The sequence below is a fragment of the Homo sapiens genome, chromosome 12, assembly GCF_000001405.40.
Source record: "Homo sapiens chromosome 12, GRCh38.p14 Primary Assembly".
Taxonomy (NCBI): Eukaryota; Metazoa; Chordata; class Mammalia; order Primates; family Hominidae; genus Homo; species Homo sapiens.
The window spans coordinates 124,316,975-124,336,646 of NC_000012.12; the positions used below are offsets into that span (position 1 = coordinate 124,316,975).

At 57.4% G+C, this 19,672-nt stretch overlaps 1 protein-coding gene across 3 annotated transcripts in view, besides 5 other annotated features; it reads right to left on the reverse strand.

Annotated features, from left to right (window-relative positions):
- Window positions 145–744: an enhancer, noted in NCBI's record as "H3K4me1 hESC enhancer chr12:124801665-124802264 (GRCh37/hg19 assembly coordinates)". NCBI's record gives its function as "activates a minimal SCP1, AML or CMV promoter by ChIP-STARR-seq in naive H9 embryonic stem cells {active_cell/tissue: H9 hESC(naive)}" and the evidence as "EXISTENCE:reporter gene assay evidence [ECO:0000049][PMID:30033119]".
- Window positions 3,995–4,064: an enhancer, noted in NCBI's record as "active region_7281". NCBI's record gives its function as "activates an Ori minimal core promoter by ATAC-STARR-seq in GM12878 lymphoblastoid cells {active_cell/tissue: GM12878}" and the evidence as "EXISTENCE:reporter gene assay evidence [ECO:0000049][PMID:35858748]".
- Window positions 4,495–4,604: an enhancer, noted in NCBI's record as "active region_7282". NCBI's record gives its function as "activates an Ori minimal core promoter by ATAC-STARR-seq in GM12878 lymphoblastoid cells {active_cell/tissue: GM12878}" and the evidence as "EXISTENCE:reporter gene assay evidence [ECO:0000049][PMID:35858748]".
- Window positions 5,112–5,191: an enhancer, noted in NCBI's record as "active region_7283". NCBI's record gives its function as "activates an Ori minimal core promoter by ATAC-STARR-seq in GM12878 lymphoblastoid cells {active_cell/tissue: GM12878}" and the evidence as "EXISTENCE:reporter gene assay evidence [ECO:0000049][PMID:35858748]".
- Window positions 7,441–19,672, reverse strand: part of NCOR2 (nuclear receptor corepressor 2) — a 243,198-nt gene continuing 230,966 nt past the window's right edge. For 2 of the 3 annotated variants that reach the window (NM_001206654.2, NM_006312.6), the window contains 9 exons: window positions 18,509–18,658; window positions 18,161–18,306; window positions 17,450–17,643; window positions 16,156–16,305; window positions 15,345–15,493; window positions 13,871–13,924; window positions 10,435–10,659; window positions 9,217–9,396; window positions 7,441–8,609 (listed from right to left, as the gene is read on the reverse strand). In NM_001206654.2, the coding sequence (NP_001193583.1) occupies window positions 8,428–8,609; window positions 9,217–9,396; window positions 10,435–10,659; window positions 13,871–13,924; window positions 15,345–15,493; window positions 16,156–16,305; window positions 17,450–17,643; window positions 18,161–18,306; window positions 18,509–18,658 (1,430 nt within the window). In that variant the 3' untranslated portion in view covers window positions 7,441–8,427. The remainder of the gene's footprint in view (window positions 8,610–9,216; window positions 9,397–10,434; window positions 10,660–13,870; window positions 13,925–15,344; window positions 15,494–16,155; window positions 16,306–17,449; window positions 17,644–18,160; window positions 18,307–18,508; window positions 18,659–19,672) is intronic. The other variant, NM_001077261.4, reaches the window with a different exon arrangement.
- Window positions 19,480–19,660: a silencer, noted in NCBI's record as "fragment chr12:124821000-124821180 (GRCh37/hg19 assembly coordinates)". NCBI's record gives its function as "represses an EF-1alpha promoter that drives an FKBP-Casp9 reporter gene in an ReSE screen in K562 erythroleukemia cells {active_cell/tissue: K562}" and the evidence as "EXISTENCE:reporter gene assay evidence [ECO:0000049][PMID:32094911]".

Below are 19,672 nucleotides of genomic sequence, written 5' to 3' on the forward strand. Positions count from 1 at the left end.
CAAGATCCGGGACACTCTAAACCACCGGCTGCCTGCTTTGATGGAGGATGGCCCCTAACAGGGAAGGGGGGATGGAAGCCAGAGAGGCTGAGTCCAACACAGGTTCACATCAACTCGAGGACGAATCTTGAGGCCTCCACTGGTCTACACGGACAGAAGCACGCCTCAAGACCCGAGCCCTGCTTTACTCATGGGATTCCCTACAGATGCCTGCTGGGGGTGGCATTCTTTGCACCTTCCTTAATCCATGCAAATTCAACTCCACAAGCCTGATTTTCAATCACAACCTTGATCTCTCACCATCTCGAAGGGAAAATGGATAAGGCTTTCCGACACTTGCAATTATAGTGCCAATGAATTCAACAAACATGGAGGTTCCCCTGGGATCGGTCTTGCGCTGGAGCTCAGGTGGAGTCCGTTGAAATCGTCAGCTCTGCGTGGCCTGCCAGACTCTTCCTGTCCCGTCCCGTTCCTCACTCCCCTTTCACAGGCATTACCCTGCAAAACCTCTTACCCTCCTAACTCCATCTCAGCCCGTTTCCTGGAGAACCCGGAGAACACGCCCGCCTCTGAGAGCCTGCAATTTGTGGACCTCCTGCAGTGGCTCTACCACACAAATGGTTGTCGCCTTTGCTGATGATGCTGGAGGCCCAGCCTGCCTGCTGGTCATGCAGGGGCCCAGGGAAGCCCAGCCAGGCACAAGGCGGAAGGAGAGGGCAAGGGCAACCAATCTAAGGCCCCCAAGTGCACCTGCTTTTCCCTTAAAGCAGCTCGTCTGTCCTAGGGGAACCCAAAAGACCTGGAGACAGGCAGAAAGAGGCATCGGTTCTGTCTGATCCTAGCCCTTGGGGACTTCCATCCCTGAAACAGAGACTGGCTGCTGTCCTCAACTGCCCAGCCTTCACGTGCTGCTGGCTATAGCGCCTTTCCCCATCTCCCCCCAGCCCAGGCACACCAGATGTGCAAGATTCAATGTGCCATGCAAGACCCCGGTGATGCCCTCAGAGGGGCAACTGTCACCCACCAGGCCCTGGGGAGGGGAAACTGACAAAGGATGGGCCTCGTCGCTGGAAAAGGAACAGGTCACTTCACTTCCCTAAGCATCTGCAAAATGAGCGGAAGGTCTCTACCTCCCAGACCTAAAATCAGATTCGGCAGCCCCCTTCCTTGCCCTGTACACGGTGCTCTTTCCCTGCAAGTCCACTGAACTTGACACTGGTCCCATCTCTTCCTGCCAGAATGGGAATGAAAACCAGGGCCTGCGTAGCACCCACACTGTGCCTGGCCCTGCTAGGAGCATGTCGTGTATTTAATCTGTTTCATCTTCACGACGGCCCTGCAAGAGGTGAGGAGAATCCTGCGAACGAAGCGTGTGCCCCCGGCCTCCCTCCAGAGGAAGTGTCCCTGTGAGGACAGCTGGTGGCTTGCAGACCGCTGAGCCCTCTCGGCTTTCTAAAGAATCTGTAAACGACTGAATTTTCTTTGATGGCCCTCCTTAGCCTCTCAAGGACGGAATGGCCAGAGAACCCTTCCACCAGCGCCAGCTCCCCAGATTTGCAAATGAGCCACTGCTGCCGACCTCCTGCAGCTTCTCCTCCCTCCCCACCTCTGCCTTTGTCCTTTGCCTCTGGCCACTATCTGATTCCCATACAGGTGAGCAAACAGCGGCTATGTAAAAAAACAAACAAACAAACCAAACCAAAAAAACCCAATAGCTTTTAGGAAGCAGTCACTCCCTATAGCAATACCACCACCCCATTCGACAGACACGGAAACTGAGCCGTGGTGGGGTCGAATGACGGGGCCAGGACCAGGCAGCTGGCCGTGACATGCCTTTGCATCGTGCTGATCCCCGAGCCCCCTGCCCCCTCACGCCATGGTGTCTGTCCCCGATCCCCTCCCCAGGGCAAGGGGGCTGTGTCCTGGCCTCTCCACTGTGCCAGCCCCTTATCCTGGTCCCACACTGGCCTCCCAGGTCTAATTCTCCCTCACAATCCATCAGCACCCTTGCGAGACAAAACTGCCCTGATTTCAGAAAACCGGCAAGTTACCTTATTAAGCAACGGCTCACCACCCCAGACACTCCTGGGCCCCCACAGGGACTCACGTCCAGCCCATGGTCGTGGGCTCCCGAGGGTCCTTGGTTGGGCCTCACCTCCTAGCCTTTGCCCACACAGGTTTTCTCCTCTCAGCCTATTCCCTTCCCTAGACCTGCCTCCTTCAGGAAGCCACCCTGACTGCTCCAGTTTATCTGTGTCATCCCAGGAAAGCTTGTCTGGAGCCAACCCCAGGGTCTTTGGGACCAGTCCTTTGCTGCCCTGTGGGGCAGCAGCTCTTGGGGCTGGTGGCCAGGTCTCCTTCTACAGAGACTTTTGTGCACTTACTGGAGACCTCCTGATCAGATGGAAGCGAAGGAGCCAGGTTCCAGGTGAAGGCCTAGCTCCAACCTTGGGCACCGCCCCTGCCATCATGGTGAGGGTCGTCAACCACCCCCACCAGAAACCCCTGGGCTGCTTGTTGAAAACACAGATTCCTGGGCCCCACCCTGGACCTAGAGCATCATCAGACTGTCTAGGTGGACCCAGGAATCTGCATTTAACCAACTTCTCGATGTCCTAAGACATGGTGACATTTGCCACCAACTGTCCTTTACAGAGCTCTTTCTAGCTTTCTTTTGAGAACTAGACACTCGCAGCGTCACTTCACAACACACTTGCCAGGGAGGTTCAGAGCCAAAGGCAGGGTCAGGAGGAGAAAGACAAGAGCTCTGCCCCTCGAGGGTTCCGTCGGGTTTGAGACAAGGATTGCACTGTGTTATCAGAGACCCAGAGGGGAGAGAAGATAGGCCAGGGCAGTGTGCTCTTCAAGGAAGTAATGCCCCAGCTGGGTTTTGAAGTGTGTATAGGGGTTTTCCAGGGAGATGGGGGTCAGGGGAACAGCATGAGTCTTCATTTTAAAGATGCAGCAGTGAAAAAGCCACATAAGACAGGGGTGGGATGACATCTTTCTTTGGGGGCGGGTGGGATGACCTCTTTCTTTGGGGGCGGGTGGGATGACCTCTTTCTTTGGGGGGAGGTGGGATGACCTCTTTCTTTGGGGGTGGGTGGGATGACCTCTTTCTTTAGGGGCAGGTGGGATGACCTCTTTCTTTGGGGGTAGGTGGGATGACATCTTTGGGGGCAGGTGGGATGACCTCTTTCTTTGGGGGCGGGTGGGATGACCTCTTTCTTTAAGGGTAGGTGGGATGACCTCTTTCTTTAGGGGTAGGTGGGATGACCTCTTTCTTTAGGGGTAGGTGGGATGACCTCTTTCTTTAGGGGTAGGTGGGATGACCTCTTTCTTTAGGGGTAGGTGGGATGACCTCTTTCTTTCTTTAGGGGTAGGTGGGATGACCTCTTTCTTTAGGGGTAAGTGGGATGACCTCTTTAGGGGTAGGTGGGATGACCTCTTTGGGGGCAGGTGGGATGACCTCTTTCTTTAGGGGTAGGTGGGATGACCTCTTTCTTTGGGGGTAGGTGGGATGATCTCTTTCTTTAGGGGTAGGTGGGATGGCCTCTTTCTTTAGGGGTAGGTGGGATGACCTCTTTCTTTGGGGGTAGGTGGGATGACCTCTTTCTTTGGGGGTAGGTGGGATGACCTCTTTCTTTGGGGGTAGGTGGGATGACCTCTTTCTTTGGGGGTAGGTGGGATGACCTCTTTCTTTGGGGGTAGGTGGGATGACCTCTTTGGGGGTAGGTGGGATGACCTCTTTGGGGGTAGGTAGGATGACCTCTTTGAAGGCTGAGGACCAACTGGCTGTAGCTGGGAGACAGAGTGGACCCTCTGAGGGCAGGAGGCTGCGAGCTTTCCATGCACCTGCAAACAACCGCCTGGGTTGGGTCTAAGTCCCTGGTCCTCAGAGAAGATACGCCATGGTGCTGAGTGGTACCAATTCAGAGGCACAGAGACAGGGGCTGATGGTGATGACCGTGAGGGCTGAGCCCTGTGATCCACTCCCATCTCTCTGGTCTAACTGGTGGCTCAACAAGGTGCTGTGGGATCTTGGGCCTCACCGATGTGAGTGGGTAACCCCTGGCGGCTGGCATGACCAACACCCCAACCCATCCTGGATTCTGGGTAGGGGCCACTCTGTGCCCTGGGTGGAGGGCAGGCCTGCCTGGGACAGTGCCCTTTGCCGGCCCCACACTGCCATCTGCCTGCCGGCCTCAGAACTACAGCCCAGCACCAGGCTCAGCCCTGTTGGGACGCATGAAAGCCCAGCGCACAGATGAGAAACCAAGGCCCAGAGGGCACCCAAAGCATCCCCAAGTTCACACAGATCACAGTCACCAAGCTGGAATCCAGGTCCTGCATGGGCCCAAGGCTTCTGCTTATTTTTAACCTGGGCACAGTAATCAGGGTGGGACACCGAGAGCCAGTGAGGCTGGGCAGAGCCCCTGAGGATGCCCCTCCTCCCTGGTCCCCACTCCAGGGGAGGCAGGACCCTGGGCAAGCCTGGGCCCTGGAGGCTTTGGGTCCCCTGGGAAGGTCAGGGCAGAAGGTGGCAATTTCTGCTTCCAGCAGACCATGGTTCTCCCTTTCATTGCCCCCCAGTCCTGTGGGGCTGGTTTCTGCAGTGCTGGATGTGAGGCTGGTCAGACACCAGCACAGGGCCAGGGACCCCCAGCCTTGGCTATCCTTGCTGGCAAATCCCCATCAGAGCCCCCAAGGATGAATTCCATCTGTGTTGGCACCACCCCTTTGTCCCTGCTTACCAGTAGCTGGGCCAGGGTGGGCCCTCTTTGGGGATTTGGGACTGCCTCTTTCTGGGTGAACTGAGGTCAGCATCCCAGACTGCCTGGGCATGAAGGCTGAGAGATGGGGACAGGCAGAATTCCAGGACCCTGGGTATCCCCACGCTTAGCATGACTCAGACGCACTTCTGAAGGAAGAACAAAAAGAGCATGCCCTGCTTTGCAGATTATCTTGCGCCCATGAGGGGCAGAGGACCCACCTCCCACCCCCTTTGTACTCCGAAAGCTTTTAGGGGCCTGGGAAGCTGGGGCCACCCTGGGAACCCACCCAGCAAGACTCAGCTTTTGCAGGGCAGGCGTTTCCTGGCTGCCAACTGTCTACATGTCTGGTGGGTCTTGGGTGGAGTGGGACACAGACTGGGGGTCTTCACTCCACAGTGGCTCCAGGAATGCTATTGGGGCAGAGCTGACCTCATGGCTCTGCCAAGAGGAAAGGTTCTCTGACCTCTGCTCTAGGATGGGGGCAGGCCTCAGCGGCCACACTCAGGCCAGCGCTGTCCCCATGGGCTTGGGGACATAGGATGGCTAAGAGGTTGTGATGGGGCTGTCCAGATGGAAACCCTACCAGGAGGCTTCAAGACACTCTGGACCAGCAGGGGAAGCTCCAGGGCAAGGGTGGGCTTCCTCTCTCTAGGGAAGCAGGCAGTGGCACCACAGGGGGCCCCAGTGCACTCCCCATGCCAGGGCGCCTGTAGCTATACCTGGGGGCCAGTGGGCATATGAAGTCTCTCTCACGCTCTTCCAGCTCAGCCACCCAATCTGGCTCTGGGGACTGACACTGCACACGGGACCGGGCACCAGGTGGGGTGTCAGGCTTTGGGGGAGTGTGGAGGGGCAGCCGTGCTGCTGTGGCAGCATACGGAAAGGGCAGGTAAATGAGGGGGAGGGCCAGGCCACTGGCACCAAGGGACAAGGCCGAGGGTGACTGGGTCAATAGTGAAGAACTGTGGCCATTCCCAGGTTCCACTCTGCTCCAGAAGGGATGCTGCGGACACAAGACAGGGCACACCCAAGATGTGGTAGACTTGAACCCAAGAGGCACCTGAACAAGCTGGCAGGAGTTGCTCTCTCTCCTGCCTGTATTCAAAACACACCAGGACATCCCCGGTCATGATCTCTATGGGCAGGGATGACATTAGAATACTACAATTAGGAAGTGATGGCCATTCTGGACTCCACGGGTGTGAATACTAGACACCTTCACTATGGGTGTGAATACCCAACACCCTCACCCTGTGTATATGTGATTCTCTTGCCATGAGTGTGAACACCTAACATCCTCACCATGAGTGTGAACACCTGACACATGGGTGTTAATACCCAACACCCTCACCCTGTGTATATGTGACACTCTTGCCATGAGTGTGAACACCTAACATCCTCACGAGTGTGAATACCTGACACATGGGTGTGAATACCCAACACCCTCACCCTGTGTATATGTGATACTCTTGCCATGAGTGTGAACACCTAACATCCTCACCATGAGTGTGAACACCTGACACATGGGTGTGAATACCCAACACCCTCACCCTGTGTATATGTGATACTCTTGCCATGAGTGTGAACACCTAACATCCTCACCATGAGTGTGAACACCTGACACATGGGTGTGAATACCCAACACCCTCACCCTGTGTATATGTGATACTCTTGCCATGAGTGTGAACCCCTAACATCCTCACCATGAGTGTGAACACCTGACACATGGGTGTGAATACCCAACACCCTCACCCTGTGTATATGATACTCTTGCCATGAGTGTGAACCCCTAACATCCTCACCATGAGTGTGAACACCTGACACATGGGTGTGAATACCCAACACCCTCACCCTGTGTATATTTGATACTCTTGCCATGAGTGTGAACACCTAACATCCTCACCATGAGTGTGAATACCTGACACCCTCTCAATATGTGTGAACATCTGACACCTTCACCATGGGTGTGACTTGACACCCTCGCCATGGTGTGAATACCTGACACATGGGTGTGAACATCTGACACCCTCTCACCATGGTGTGACCACTTGACACCCTCACCACGGTGTGAACACCTGACACATGGGAATGAATACCTGGCACCCTCTCACCATGTGTGAACATCTGACACCCTCACTATGGTGTGAATACCTGACACCATGAGTGTGAACATGACACCCTCACCATGGTGTGAACACCTGACACCATGTGTGAACATCTGACACCCTCGCCATGGTGTGAATACCTAACACCATGAGTATGAACATCTGACACTCTTACCATGGGTGTGACTACTTGACACCCTCAGCATGGTGTGAATACCTGATACATGGGTGTGAATACCTGACACCCTCTCACCATGAGTGTGAACATGACACCCTGACCATCATGTGAATACCTGACACATGGGTGTGAACCCATGTGAACATCTGACACACTCTTACCATGGGTGTGAACACTTGAGACCTTCACCACAGATGTGACTATTTGATGTCCTCATGGTGATGTCCTTACCAAGGGTATAAATATTCAACTTGCAAAAGGATCCACTCCCTGGTGACTCAGGCGGATGTGGCCTTGGCCCTCCAGGGGTATACTCCCACTGTCCCCTAAACGCCTGCCCTATTGGCTGCCCAGTCTGAGGTAGAGAAGAAACCTTTGTAACTGGAGTATAATTCGCTTTTTAATTAGAACGACGTGTGTAAATGACAGAATACCACCACCCTGCGCAGATGGCGGCCACAGAATACGCATCGAATTCATTCTGCCCAAGGAAGGGAGGGAGGGAGGACACAGCGGGGCGTGAGCCAGCAGTCCCCGCCCCCTTGGTCCTGCGAGTGATGGGGTCACCGACTGTCGGCCTGCACACGCCTCTTGAACGGTAAGCAGAGATCAAAAGCACAGCAGCAGTAATACTGGGTAAGTCCTTCCTTGCGTAAAACATCTGAATTAATTCATTGAAGGTATCAAAAATATACCCTGTAAACCAACACATCATTTACATCTGCCTTTCCTTCCCACCGCTGCGGCAACGATGTGTGAAAAAAACAGTCCAGTCCTCGGAGCATCCGTTCCCCCCAGGCCGCACCTGGCCCTTTTGTCCGCCCACCTGGCCTGACTTGGTTTCCAGCAATCTCGTTGGCTGGGGCAGTCTGTGGGGACCGGAACGAGCGCACTGGGGGCTGGACAGGGCCTGCGTCCATCTGTCCAGAGCGCTAAGCGGGATGGGAGGCGGAGGGAGGGCGCGGGGGCTGCGAGCTCAGTTTAGACTTTGGTTCCAAATGCATTCGGGGGAGGCAGTGGCGTGGAGGTGCGTGGTCATCCTGCTTTGGGTCCCTGGCCGCCCTGGCCGCCTGCGTGTGGCTGCCACACGCCTGCCGTGCCCCCTCCCCGGCCCCTTCCCCTCCCTTCCCGAGCACCAGGTAAACATCCCCTGAGTAAGGTCTGCACAGGGCCAGCCCGGGGCGGGAGTCTTAGTTAAGGCTTTAGACAGGCAAGGATGCCGGCTCTGGACGGACAGATGGATGGAGGCGCAGGCGGACTCAGGGGCTCCTTCCTTGGTTGGGGGAGTCGGCAGCCGCCCTGCTCCTGCAGGGCCGTTCCTGTGGCTCGCTGGGACCTGACACCGCCCCCCCCCCCGCCCTGTTCTGAGTCACTCGCTGTCGGAGAGTGTCTCGTACTGCGAGCAGAGCAGTGGCTTGGGCTCCTCGTCCCAGGCGTGGTGGGGGCCAGCGAGGGGCCCGCTGCCCGCGGGGAGGCCCGGTGGGGGTGGGGAAGCCATGACACCCGCCTGCAGCCGCATGATCAGGGGGTTGTAGGGGAATGGCGTGGAACCTGCGGGAAGAAGCGAAAGATGCCCAGGAGGCCTCTGTGAGCCCGGCAGCCCCTGCTGGCCGCCTGCCCACCACACCGGGAACAGAGGCCTCAGCGTTTCTGTCCAACAGTCCTCCCAGACCTTTCTAATTGCGAACAGGTCTCAGAACCGTCTGCCTCTCTTCACCTGTTCTACTTCCGTCCCTGTTCACACCCTGCCGCTGTCTTTTGCCTGGACTATAGCAGTAGCCTATTCACCGTCCCTCTGGTCTATTCTCCCAGGGGCCTTCTGACCCTATGTTAGATGAGCATTTCCCTTCCGAAAGCCCTCCACGCCTCCTCACTACCCATCAAAGGAAGTCCAGGCTCCCCTGGATGGTCCACCAGGCCCATGTGATCTGGCCGGCCCCAACCACACCCTTTTCCTCTGCCTGTGCCCCTGGCAGAAGCATCCTGATGGTTCGTGAGCCAGGCTCAGCTGCCCAGGCCCCTGGACAGCGTTTCCACAGAACAGGCCCGAGTCTGAGCTCTGCATGCAGCAGGCGCTCAGCATTCAGTGCCCCGGCAGCATTCACAGCCCAGTGTTGGGGGCTCAGCGAGCCCAGCCCTGTCCCCACCTGGTGCCCACCTGCGGACGAGGGCCTGTCCTCCCACACGCGGTTGGTGAGCGGCGTCCGGCGGTTGCAGTCTCCCTCCGAGTGCACTGAGGAGACAGAGGGTGGCCGGTCCCCAGATGCCAGGCCCGGGGCCGGGGACTTGGCTTTTCGGCTGCTGGGTCTGCCAGAGACCTTGGCCTTCCCGCCGCCACCTGCAGGGGGACAAGATGGGAAGGGGCTGCGTTGGGCAGTGAAGACAGCACCGACGCTACGGTGGGGCCACAGGGGCAGGGTGAGGTCCTGCCATGGGCCCTCCAAAGAGGGAGGGAGAGCAGTAACGTGAACCCCTCCTCCCTGCTGCCCGCCCCAGCTGGGAAGCCAGGGTTGACCAGATGGCCAGCCATGAGCCTGGAGGGTGGAGATAGTTTCTGCTGGGCAGGGGGAGGTGGCTAAACTGTCTGCTGTTTGCAATAGCCCCCTGGGCTGTCCTGCAGCGACCCCAGCCCCAGGGGCTGGAACCCTAAGCATGAAGCTGGGCTTCCAGTTTGAGCGTGGCCCCAGGACCATGCTAAGGCTAGGCAGGATCCAGGCCCCGTGCAGAGAAGTCAGGACCCCTGAGGCCAGGCCTGACCCCCACAGAGGCTCCAGAAGCTTCTTGGGGCCTCAGTGTCCAGGTTGGACAACTGCAACTCTCTCCTCAGCTCCCTGCCCCGATACAGAGGGTATTGATGGGGAACCAGGCTGACCCCTAAGGCTCCCTGACTCCCAGGGCTGAGACAGACCCTGGGCTCCTCCCCACCAGGCTAAGGGGCAGCTGAGGACACATAGTGGGCCTGGCAGATGCTGAGCACAGGCCTGGCTGCCATTCCCCTGTCCACACAGTGTGGGTGGGGCTTCACTCCAGCCTGCTCTCCCCCAAGGAGACAGATGGGCCAAGAAGCCGGGTCCCCGCAGGGAGGAAGGCGGGAGGACTGGGGGGCGGACAGCAGTGTGAGTGTCCGAGGGAGGCGGCAGCGCTTCGGGCCTAGTGGGCAGGAGGGCCGGGGCTGGGGGGCAGAGGGTACAGACACTTGGGGGGTGTCAGCCCAGCTTCAGATTAGCAAACTCCAGAACGAGGTCAAACACGCACAAAAATAAAGTCACAAGCTCCAAAGCTCGAGGAGGGGGTTGTCAGAGGAGCGCGGAGGAGCGAGGATTAATCACACCGGGGGTGGGGACAGACGGGGGCGGGGCGGGGGTGGCCTGCAGACCTGGCGAGGTGAGTGTGTGGTCACTCCGTCCGTCAGCAGCGGTTATGGGCATAGCAGCGGGCAGGCTGGCACTGGCATTCAGAGGGTTAAAAGCATTGGCGCTGAGCGGCGGGGACTCTTCCCACTGGTCATATTTACCCATGAGTGCCTTTCTAATTATGGCCTCCAGCCCCATGTTGGTGCTGGCATGTTCCTGCACCGCCTGGCTTCTATAGGTCATAAGGCCTGGGAGAGAGAGACAGACAGACAGACAGACACATGGGGGCCGGGGAGGGGGAGCCAGAGGGGCGACAGAGAGAGAGAAGGGAGAGAGAGAGGGAAGGAGGAGGAGGAGGAGGAGGAGAGAGAAATACACAGTGAGCACATTTCGGCAAAGCAACATATTTATTTCCCTATCCCTCCCCACCCTTTTTTTCCTGCTGGGTGGTGATAAAAGGGGAGAGGCTGGTTCCTTCTACCTGGGGCCCCGGAAGCTCTTGGGCACTGCCAGGGAGGTGGGGTAGGGGAGGTCAGATGCCCCCACCAGCCCCTATTCTCATTCCTATTCTGTCCTCTGGGAAATCACAAGCCCCGTCTGCACCTCCAATCCTAGCTGGGGCTGTTTTGTTTGTTTTTTTTTTAAATCTCAAGTGGCCTTAATGGAGAGGGTGGGAGATGGGAGGGCTACCCTGTTTGGGGAACAGGCTGCTAGAAAATTGGCTCAAGCCAGAGCTGGGGGCTGGCTGGGGGCTGGGGAAGGGACTGAGAGAGAGAAGGTGACCAGATGGTCCTCCCGCTGCCCCACCTCCACCTGTGTGATGGGACGTGCAGCCCCGTACCTCCCCACCAAGCTGGGCCTGCTCTCCTCCCTCTGCCTCTCCCCACCCAGGAGCCATGAGGAGAAAGAGGTGCAGAGACGGACGCTGAGGGCGGGGTCATAGCCATGCAGTTACGGTGCGTGCAGGGGACAGGGCAGAAGTAGACACAATCACGGGACCAGCCCTGGTCCGGCCCCAGCTGGCCCAGCTGCCCAGTCCCAAGGACAAAGTGGTCGAATCAACAAACCGGTCCCAAGAGGATGCTTCCAGAACACCTCCTGACAATCGGGGAAACCTCCTTTTCTGTTAACCACATTTCCTTTCCCTTTTTTCTTTCTTGTGAACCACGTGGAGGTGGGGGCCTTTGCACACCCCCCAGAGGTGCTGTCTTTTCAGAACTTTTGTTAAACCAGCCTTTGCTTTCAAAAGCCCCCAGTGAAGCCCCATTCCACCGTGCCCACCACGGGGCAAGTGTTTCATGGAGTTTTAAACTTCTGCTCCGAATGAATCATACGAATACAAAGTGGTCAAATCGTCTTTCCGACCACTCGCTCCTTTGTAAACCAAACCGAGGCTTCCATGAGGTTGCGGGTGATGCAGATGCTTTGAAAATCACGTTTCTGTAGCAACTGCTGGCTGCCTGCGTTTTCTTTTCCCTTTTGGTTTCAAATACGTTTGTAGCCAGGGATGCTCACACCTTTTCTGCTGTCTTGGCCACATTTCTGCAGCACTTTTGAAAAAACAGCCATGTGCATGAAGAAAAAGCAACATTTCCAACAAGGGTGAGTGCTGAAATCACAGCAGCGCGACTGGGCCTTCTACCCAAGGCCACGAGTCCGTGACCTGATGGAGCTGGCTCCAGGCTTAACGATCTCCATTTATAAAGGTGAAGTCTGACACAGGTTGAGTGGCAAAGACTGGAGCCTGGAAAATTTCTTCTTGTGGACTAAAACTGCATAAAAAGAAAAAATCAGGCTGGGCGTGACTGCTCACGCCTGTAATCCCAGCACTTTGGGAGGCCCAATGTGGGTGGATCATCTGACGTCAGGAGTTCGAGATCAGCCTGGCCAATATGATGAAACCCCGTCTCTACTAAAAATACAAAAATTAGCCAGGTGTAGTGGCGGGTGTCTGTAATCCCGCTACTTGGGAGGCTGAGGTGGAAGAACTGCTGAAACCCGGGAGGCAGAGGCTGCAGTGAGCCAAGATTGCACCACTGCACTCCAGCCTGGGCGACAGAGCAAGACTCTGTCAAACAAACAGACAAACAAACAAACACAAAAAACAAAAATCAGTCGAGGTGGGAGGATCCTCAGCTTGAGGACAGGAGTTCAAGACTAGCCTGGGTAACATATTGAGAGCCTGTCTCTACAAAAAAGATAAAAAATTACTCGGGTGCAGTGGCGCATGCCTGTAGTCCCAGCTGCTCAGGAGGCTGAGAGGTAGGAGGATCATCTAAGCCTGGGAGGCGGAGGCTGCAGTGAGCTGTGATTGCACCACTGCACTCTGGCCTAGGTGACAGAAAGACCGTGTCTTAAAAAGATAAATACAAAATATTTATATATAAGTGTTAGCATAAATCTTCACTGTACCATGCCATGAGTTTTTACACACAGATACACCTGTGTGTCTAGCACCTACTTCAAGATTTAGAACATCCCAGGAACATTCATTTCTAACCCTCTTGTTGTTTCGACCAAATTGTCTTCTTCCCGTTGCCTGAGGCTTGGCAATGCCCCCGGTGTCTAGTCACTGGGCAGGTGGAGGTGTCCTAGTTGGGACTCCCATTTGGAGGCCTCGCTGACCCCCTGATAATATCTGAACGACTATCCTTCGCTCACCATTCCCAGGGCTCAAGGCCCAGGAATGTTCCCCAGGGAAGATCAGCAAACCTCTCCGACCTCCATCCTGGCCTCAGCTTCCACCAAAGGACCAGAGGATAACCAGGCACCCACACAGAGGCAGCCGACCCCAAAACTGCCTCAGCCCCACTGGGCCAGGCCTGCCCATGCAGAGTGACCCCCAGAGGCCACACCCCAGACTCACCAAGGAAATACACAATGGGGCCCTCCTAGAGGATGGGGCTCCAACCTCAAGGGACCCCTAAGTCCAAAAGATCATAGAAGTCTTAAGTTTCAGCTTAAAAGTGCGTGTCAATTTTACACCTATCTCTGCCACACACCTGTATTTGATCTTGAAAGAAAAAGTAAGGCTTCCCAGTTCCCTGGCTGGATTTAAGGAATGAAGCTCTAGCTATAACAAACGCCCGAGTGAACTCGGAGGCTTGTGCTCTGAGCTCAGGCCCACCCCTCGTCCAGACATGTGCATCTCCAGCTGAGGCTGGCGAAGAAGCAAGGTGAGTTTCCAGCTGGTGAGGGTGCATCTGATACTTACTAACCACCCGAGGGGATCTTAACTCCAGAGATTCCCTGCACAGCGAGGATCCTGTCTACACAGGGAACAAGCCTCGCCTGCCTGTTGTGTGACTCTGAATCCTACTGTGCGGTTAGTTCATCCCAGAATGAGGGGGTACACCCAGACTAGCGAAGGCTCCTCGTCCCTTCATGACAGCTGGAGCAGGGGTGGGGAGGGAGCGGAGGGGACCAGGGCAGCCATATAGCAAGGGCTGGATGGGTTACCTGTTCCGGTGATGGCGGGCATATTGAAGATCTCCGTCCCAGGCTGGCTGATATCTGGAAGCGGGTGACAGAGTGGGTGAGGCCCCCAGGTCTCTGGGAATTACCTGCCCTACCAGTCCCGTGTGGTCCAGGCCAGGTGTGCTGGCATCACCTGGGGAAACTTGTGCATTGCAGGTTCTCATGCAGCAGGCCTGGGACAGGGCCAAGCGTCTGCATTTCTTTTTTTTTTTTTTTTTGAGATAGAGTCTCGCTCTGTTGCCCAGGCTGGAGTGCAGTTGTGCAATCTCGGCTCCCTGCAACCTCCGCCTCCCAGGTTCAAGTGATTCTCCTGCCTCAGCCTCCCGAGTAGCTGGGGTTACAGACATCCGCCACCACGCCTGGCTAATTTTTGTATTTTTAGTAGAGACGGGGTTTCACCATGTTGGTCAGGCTGGTCTCAAACTCCTGACCTCATATGATCCACCCGCCTTGACCTCCCAAAGTGCTGGGATTACAGGCGTAAGCCACCGCGCCTGGCCAAGGGCCTGCATTTCTAACCAGTACCCTGGGGATGCTGATGCTACGGTTCCCTGGACTGCACTTACAGGGCCCTGGAGTTACCAGCCTGGGTCAGAGATTTTTTTTTTTTTTAAGACAGTGTCTTGCTCTGTTGTCCAGGCTGGAGTGCAGTGGTGTGATCATAGCTCACTGCAGCCTTGACCTCCGAGGCTCAAGAAATCCTCCTATCTCAGCCTCCCCAGTAGCTTGGACTATAGGTGTGTGCCTGTTTTTAAAGTTTTTTGTAGAGATGGGGTCTTGCTATGTTGCACAGACTGGTCTCGAACTCCTGGCTTCAAGCAATCCTCCTGCCTCATCCTCCCAAAGTGCTGGGCCTATAGGCATGAGCCACCGTGCCCGGCAAGCCAGTGACTATCTGCAAGGTTTCTACTCCAGCCCCAGGAAGGGAAAAGCATCTGTGATTTGTCCAAACTTCCCTGGCAGATGAGGCTTCTTGGGGTCGGGGACTGTGACAGATTCTTTATTTGCCCACCCACTCACGTATTCCCTGGTGGATCTGCTAACTGCCAGGCGCTGTGCTAGGGACTGGGAAGCAGAGTGGGGCGTTCATACCCAGCAACCACGTCAATGGGTGCAAAGCCACACAGGTGCTGAGTGTGGGAGGCGCCCGGCCCTTGTGTGGGAGGGATCCAACCCCTGGTCCCAGTATTCATGCAGGTATTCACTGGGCACCTACTATGTGCTGGGTGCTATTCTTCTGTGCCAGTAAGCTCCTATGGAAAGCCCAGCAAATCAAGAAACTGCCCTGGGGCTCCCCAAATGTGAGGCAAAGGGCCTGGGGGGAGGTGGTCAGCAGGGCCACTTAGCTTTCGAAGGTGCACCGTGGGTTTCTGCCACTGGGCGGCTCCAGCTGCCCAGGCAGGCCACCCGCCCACCTGTGGCCCCATGCTTCCCCGGGAGCCTGCAGGCCCCTTACTGTATTCAGGCTCATTCCGGTTGTGGGTGTTCAGCTTCTTGTTGATCTCTTGCTTCTTGGACTTGACCATGGCGGAGTTGCTCTCGGTCAGCTTGCTGAAGAAGGCTGGCGGCTGGCTGGTGTTGCCTGGAGACTTGGAGCCCATCCTGCTGTGAGGATCAAACACCTCACATCAGCTCACTTGGTGCCGAGCTTGCATGCCTTTGATGATGGGGAACTCACCACCTGAGATGCCTTAGACATTTGGAAGCAAGCTTCACCCGCCCCCACGCCTGCATCCCCTGCCTGGTAGAAGATCACGGCTCCTGAAATCTCCTCTGCGGTTCACCCGTCCTGGGGCTAGGGGTGTCTTGGGAGACGCCTGGCTGCGTGGTGGGCTGCCTCTGACCACTTGCTCCAGCCTGACCCTCTCAAGAGAGCCCCAAGGACTGAAATTGGGTTCCGATCATGCCCTTCCCCAGGGGCAGCGGGCCCAGCTTCCTTCTCAGGTCCCACCTCACCCATCGCCCCCGGTCTGGCCCAGCACACCTAGCTCATTATTTCTTAGAGGTTCAACAGGGGCTGTCAACGGGGGCCTGGTCCAGCTGAGATCCCAGCCCAAAGCATGGAAAGCTACCACTGAGGTCTCCCCAGGGAGGGTGGGCATGTATCACACCCCCAAGTTGGTGAAACCTGCTTGGCAGGCTTGAGGTCACCCAGCTGAGCCCTGTGCCCTTGTCACTCTCCACATGGCACCACGGTGGACTGGGGCCAAGGATGGGCAAGGGATACCAGAGCATCCCGGGGGCAGCGCATGTGCCCACAGAAGTACCTGGGCTCCGTCTGTTCCCCATCCCGGTACAGCAGCGGGTACACAGCACTCCGGGAGTGCCCTGGCTCCGTCATGCCCTCCGGTGGGGACACAGGTTCAATACCGTCCTCACCACCACCCAAGACCGACGTCTTGTTTGGCTCTGGAGACCTGGATGGAGAAAGGGCCCCAGATGTGGTCAGAGGTCTCCCTACTGAGGGGGCGCACCCTCCCTCCACTCTAAACCAGGGCCCCACACGCTTTTCCTGTACGTGGCCAAATCATAAACGTTTTAGGCATTTTCGACCACAAGTAATCTCTGGCATGTATCGTTATCATTTTTATTTTTTTTTTAAACAACCCTTTAAAAATGTAAAATCATTTTTTTAGTTCATGAATTGTACAAACAGAGGGCCCGGGCTAGATCTGGCCCATGGGCCACAGTTTATTGACCCCTGCTCTGAATTCTGGTTGTACCCCAGTGCCAGCTACACCACTGCCCCCCAAAGATGTCCTGCTGTCTTGCCATGTCTGTCCTCGCACACACATTACCCCCCCCGCCCCCACCAAAACGCCTCCTTCACCCTGGAGCTCAGGGCCCTCCCCTCTCTTTCTCTTTTGACCCCCAGAGGCCCCACGGTTCACCAGGGTGGGGGTGGGGGCGGGGGTGGGAGTGGGAGTGTGCGTGAGCATGTGCATGTGCCTGTGTCTACAGGGGTGTGCGGGTGCGCCTGTGTGCGGGTGTGCATGTGTGTGTGCGCATGTGTGCGGGTGTGCATGTGTGTGTGCGCGCGCATGTGTGCGGGTGTGCATGTGTGTGCGCGCGCATGTGTGTGGGTGTGCACGTGTGTGTGTGCGGGTGCGCATGTGTGCGGGTGTGCATGTGTGTGTGTGCGCATGTGTGTGGGTGTGCATGTGTGGAAAGGCTGCTCTCTAATCATACAGCCCTGGAACAAATCCCCCTCTGTCACCTACTGACTGTGCCCCTGTGGGCAAGTGAATTCACTTCTCCAGGCCTTAGTTTCTTCATCTGTGAAATGGGGAGAATGCTGCCTATGTCTCCTGGGGGGCTGTGTGTAAAGGGTACACGTGAGTGCCTGGAACCCACTGAGCACAGCATGTACTTTCATCAGCTATTATTCGTTATGTATCCGCTCTGTGACTCCCCCATCTCCTGGAGCCTCCATTTCTTGCCTGTGCAATGGCACCAGGCGGGCCTCATATGCAGCTGAGCTCAGACCCAGCTCTGAGGCAGGCAGCTGACGAAGGCCTCCCGCCGGCTGACCAGCAAGAGGCACCCCCATCCCTCGCTCACCTCTTGCCCCCTTCGCTGTGGGGGGAGCCACGGGCCGGGGCACCATGGTCCGGGGGCGGGAGGTAGAGGTCACTGGGTGGGCGGCGGAGGTCCAGGACGGGGCAGCTGGCCCCAGGGAAGGAGTAGAGGGGGGCGGGCAGGGGTGCGCTGAGCTGCTGTGGGTGGTGCCGGGTGTAGTCCTGTGTGATGACCTCCTGCAGGCAAGTGGGGGGGCCCAGAGTCAGGCAGCACTCTCCTGACAGAACCTTCTGGGGGTGGGGAGGGGCTAGACGGAGCTCGGGGCAGAATCCTGGGTGGGGCCAGCTTCCTGGGTGACTGTGGACCTGCCCGCCACCCTCTGGGCCTCCGTGTCCCAGTGTGCATGGGAGTGGGGCTGTGGTCAGCGGTCCCAAGCTGGTAGTTGGCAGATGGCTGATGAGACCAGCCCATGACACTGAGAAACCTGGGCCACCAGGAAGGCCTCATTGCCCGTGAAGATGCCATCGGCTCGCATCACAGGCTCCTCCCATGGATTAGGGGGCGGTGATGGTGCCGGTGCTCGGGGCTTTGGGATCTCACCCTCACCCACGCCCTGGATCCCCCCAGCGCCATGCCCTGGATCCCCCAGCCACCCCGCCAGGACAGAAGGGCTGTGGGGTTCCCCATCCCCTCTCCAGGCCTGGTGCCCCCAGGTGCAAAGGTGACAAGCAGCAGCAGAGAACGCGTAGTTACACTGATGTGCTGGGCCAGGGTGACCACCCGCTGGTGACCTTTGACCCCTGGGGCGGTCTGGAGCAGCGGGCTGGACGAGGGCTGGCTCTCAGGCAGCGGCCGCAGGTGTGGGAGGTGGGCGGCCTCCCCGCCAAGCTTCACGGGGCCTGCAGGCAGAGCAGAGCTGGTCAGGGGGTGTCTGCTGGCCCCAGGGCTGCTGGGCCCAAATCCCAGCCCCATGCCTTTGAGCCTCATGATCCAGCCAATTCCTTGGCCTTTAGGCACCTCTGTTTTCCTATCTGCATGATGGGGCCTTGAGGGTCCTCACTGTGCAGGGCTTCGGGGGCCTGGGTACTGGGTGGGGCGTACCTGGCTGCTTGGGCCGCAGCTCCCCCTCCAGGTGGCTCTTGTCGAGCTCTTCCAGGTGCTTGGGGAGCCCCTTGTCGTGGGTCAGACTGGGTGAGCTCACAGGGCTGACGGGCTCCACCCCTTCGGGGCTGTAGCTGCTGCCGTGGTAACCTAGGGCAGGCGGGGGGTGCAGAGTCAGGCACCGGGCCCAGGGTTTCGGAGCCCGAGGGGCAGGGCTGCCCTCCCAGCTGGCTGGGACCCCGGGGGGGTCAAGGGGAACCCAAGCTAGGGGTAGGGTTTGGGCTCCCAAAGACAGTAAGGCAGAGAGGGGTGTTGGGGAGAGACAGGGAGGCCAAGGGAGAGGTGGAGAGAGATGCAGAGCCCGGGACAGAGACAGACAGAGAGGGAGACACAGAGAGAGATTAGGCAAGAAGGGACAGAGATGGGTTCAGGTGGTGGAGGCCGGGCGAGGCCAGCGTGAGATGGGGGCAGCATGGGTCTCTGGGGAAGGAGTGTGTGGGGCGGAGTGAGAAGTGGGGGTGTGGCTGGGAGTGACCCTGGGTCCCCGGGGCCCCGCCTGGGCTATAGCCTCGGCCATCCCAGTCCAACAGAGAGGAGCCATGAACTAGGGCCAAGGCAGGGGTCCAGAGGCAGAGGGCTCCCCTTTTTCTGGGGTACAGGGGCTGGGGACAGGGCAAGATGCAAGAGCCAGACCCAGCTCCTCCTCGACAGCGCAGGTCCCTGCCCCGCCTCAGCTTCTCCTTGCACCGCCTGCCTCCACTTCCCCCAGTCCGACAGCATCCAGGCAGCCGGCAGGTGGGGGCGTAGGCCCGAGCCCTCCCGCAGCCCCATCCCTGCTCCCTGGACACAGGCGCAAAGAGGGAGATGGGGGCGCAGTCGAAGTCAGAATCACAGATCCATTCATTAAAGAAAAAAAAGCAAAAATCCAAAAAAAAAAAACCATGGTAAAATGATGTGCAAATGATGAGCGCCCCCAAACCAGAGGGGCAGGCGCGGCCGGAGTAGTCGTCAGCGCGTGCAAACCGGCGAGGACGGATGGGCTTCAAAACAAAATACCAAAACCAACAACAAAAAAAACGGGGGCCAAAGTAAAAAGCAGAGATCTGAAAATATCTTTGGACCACGAGACGGGGTGGGTGCGGGCCGGAAGTCTTACCATCGCGA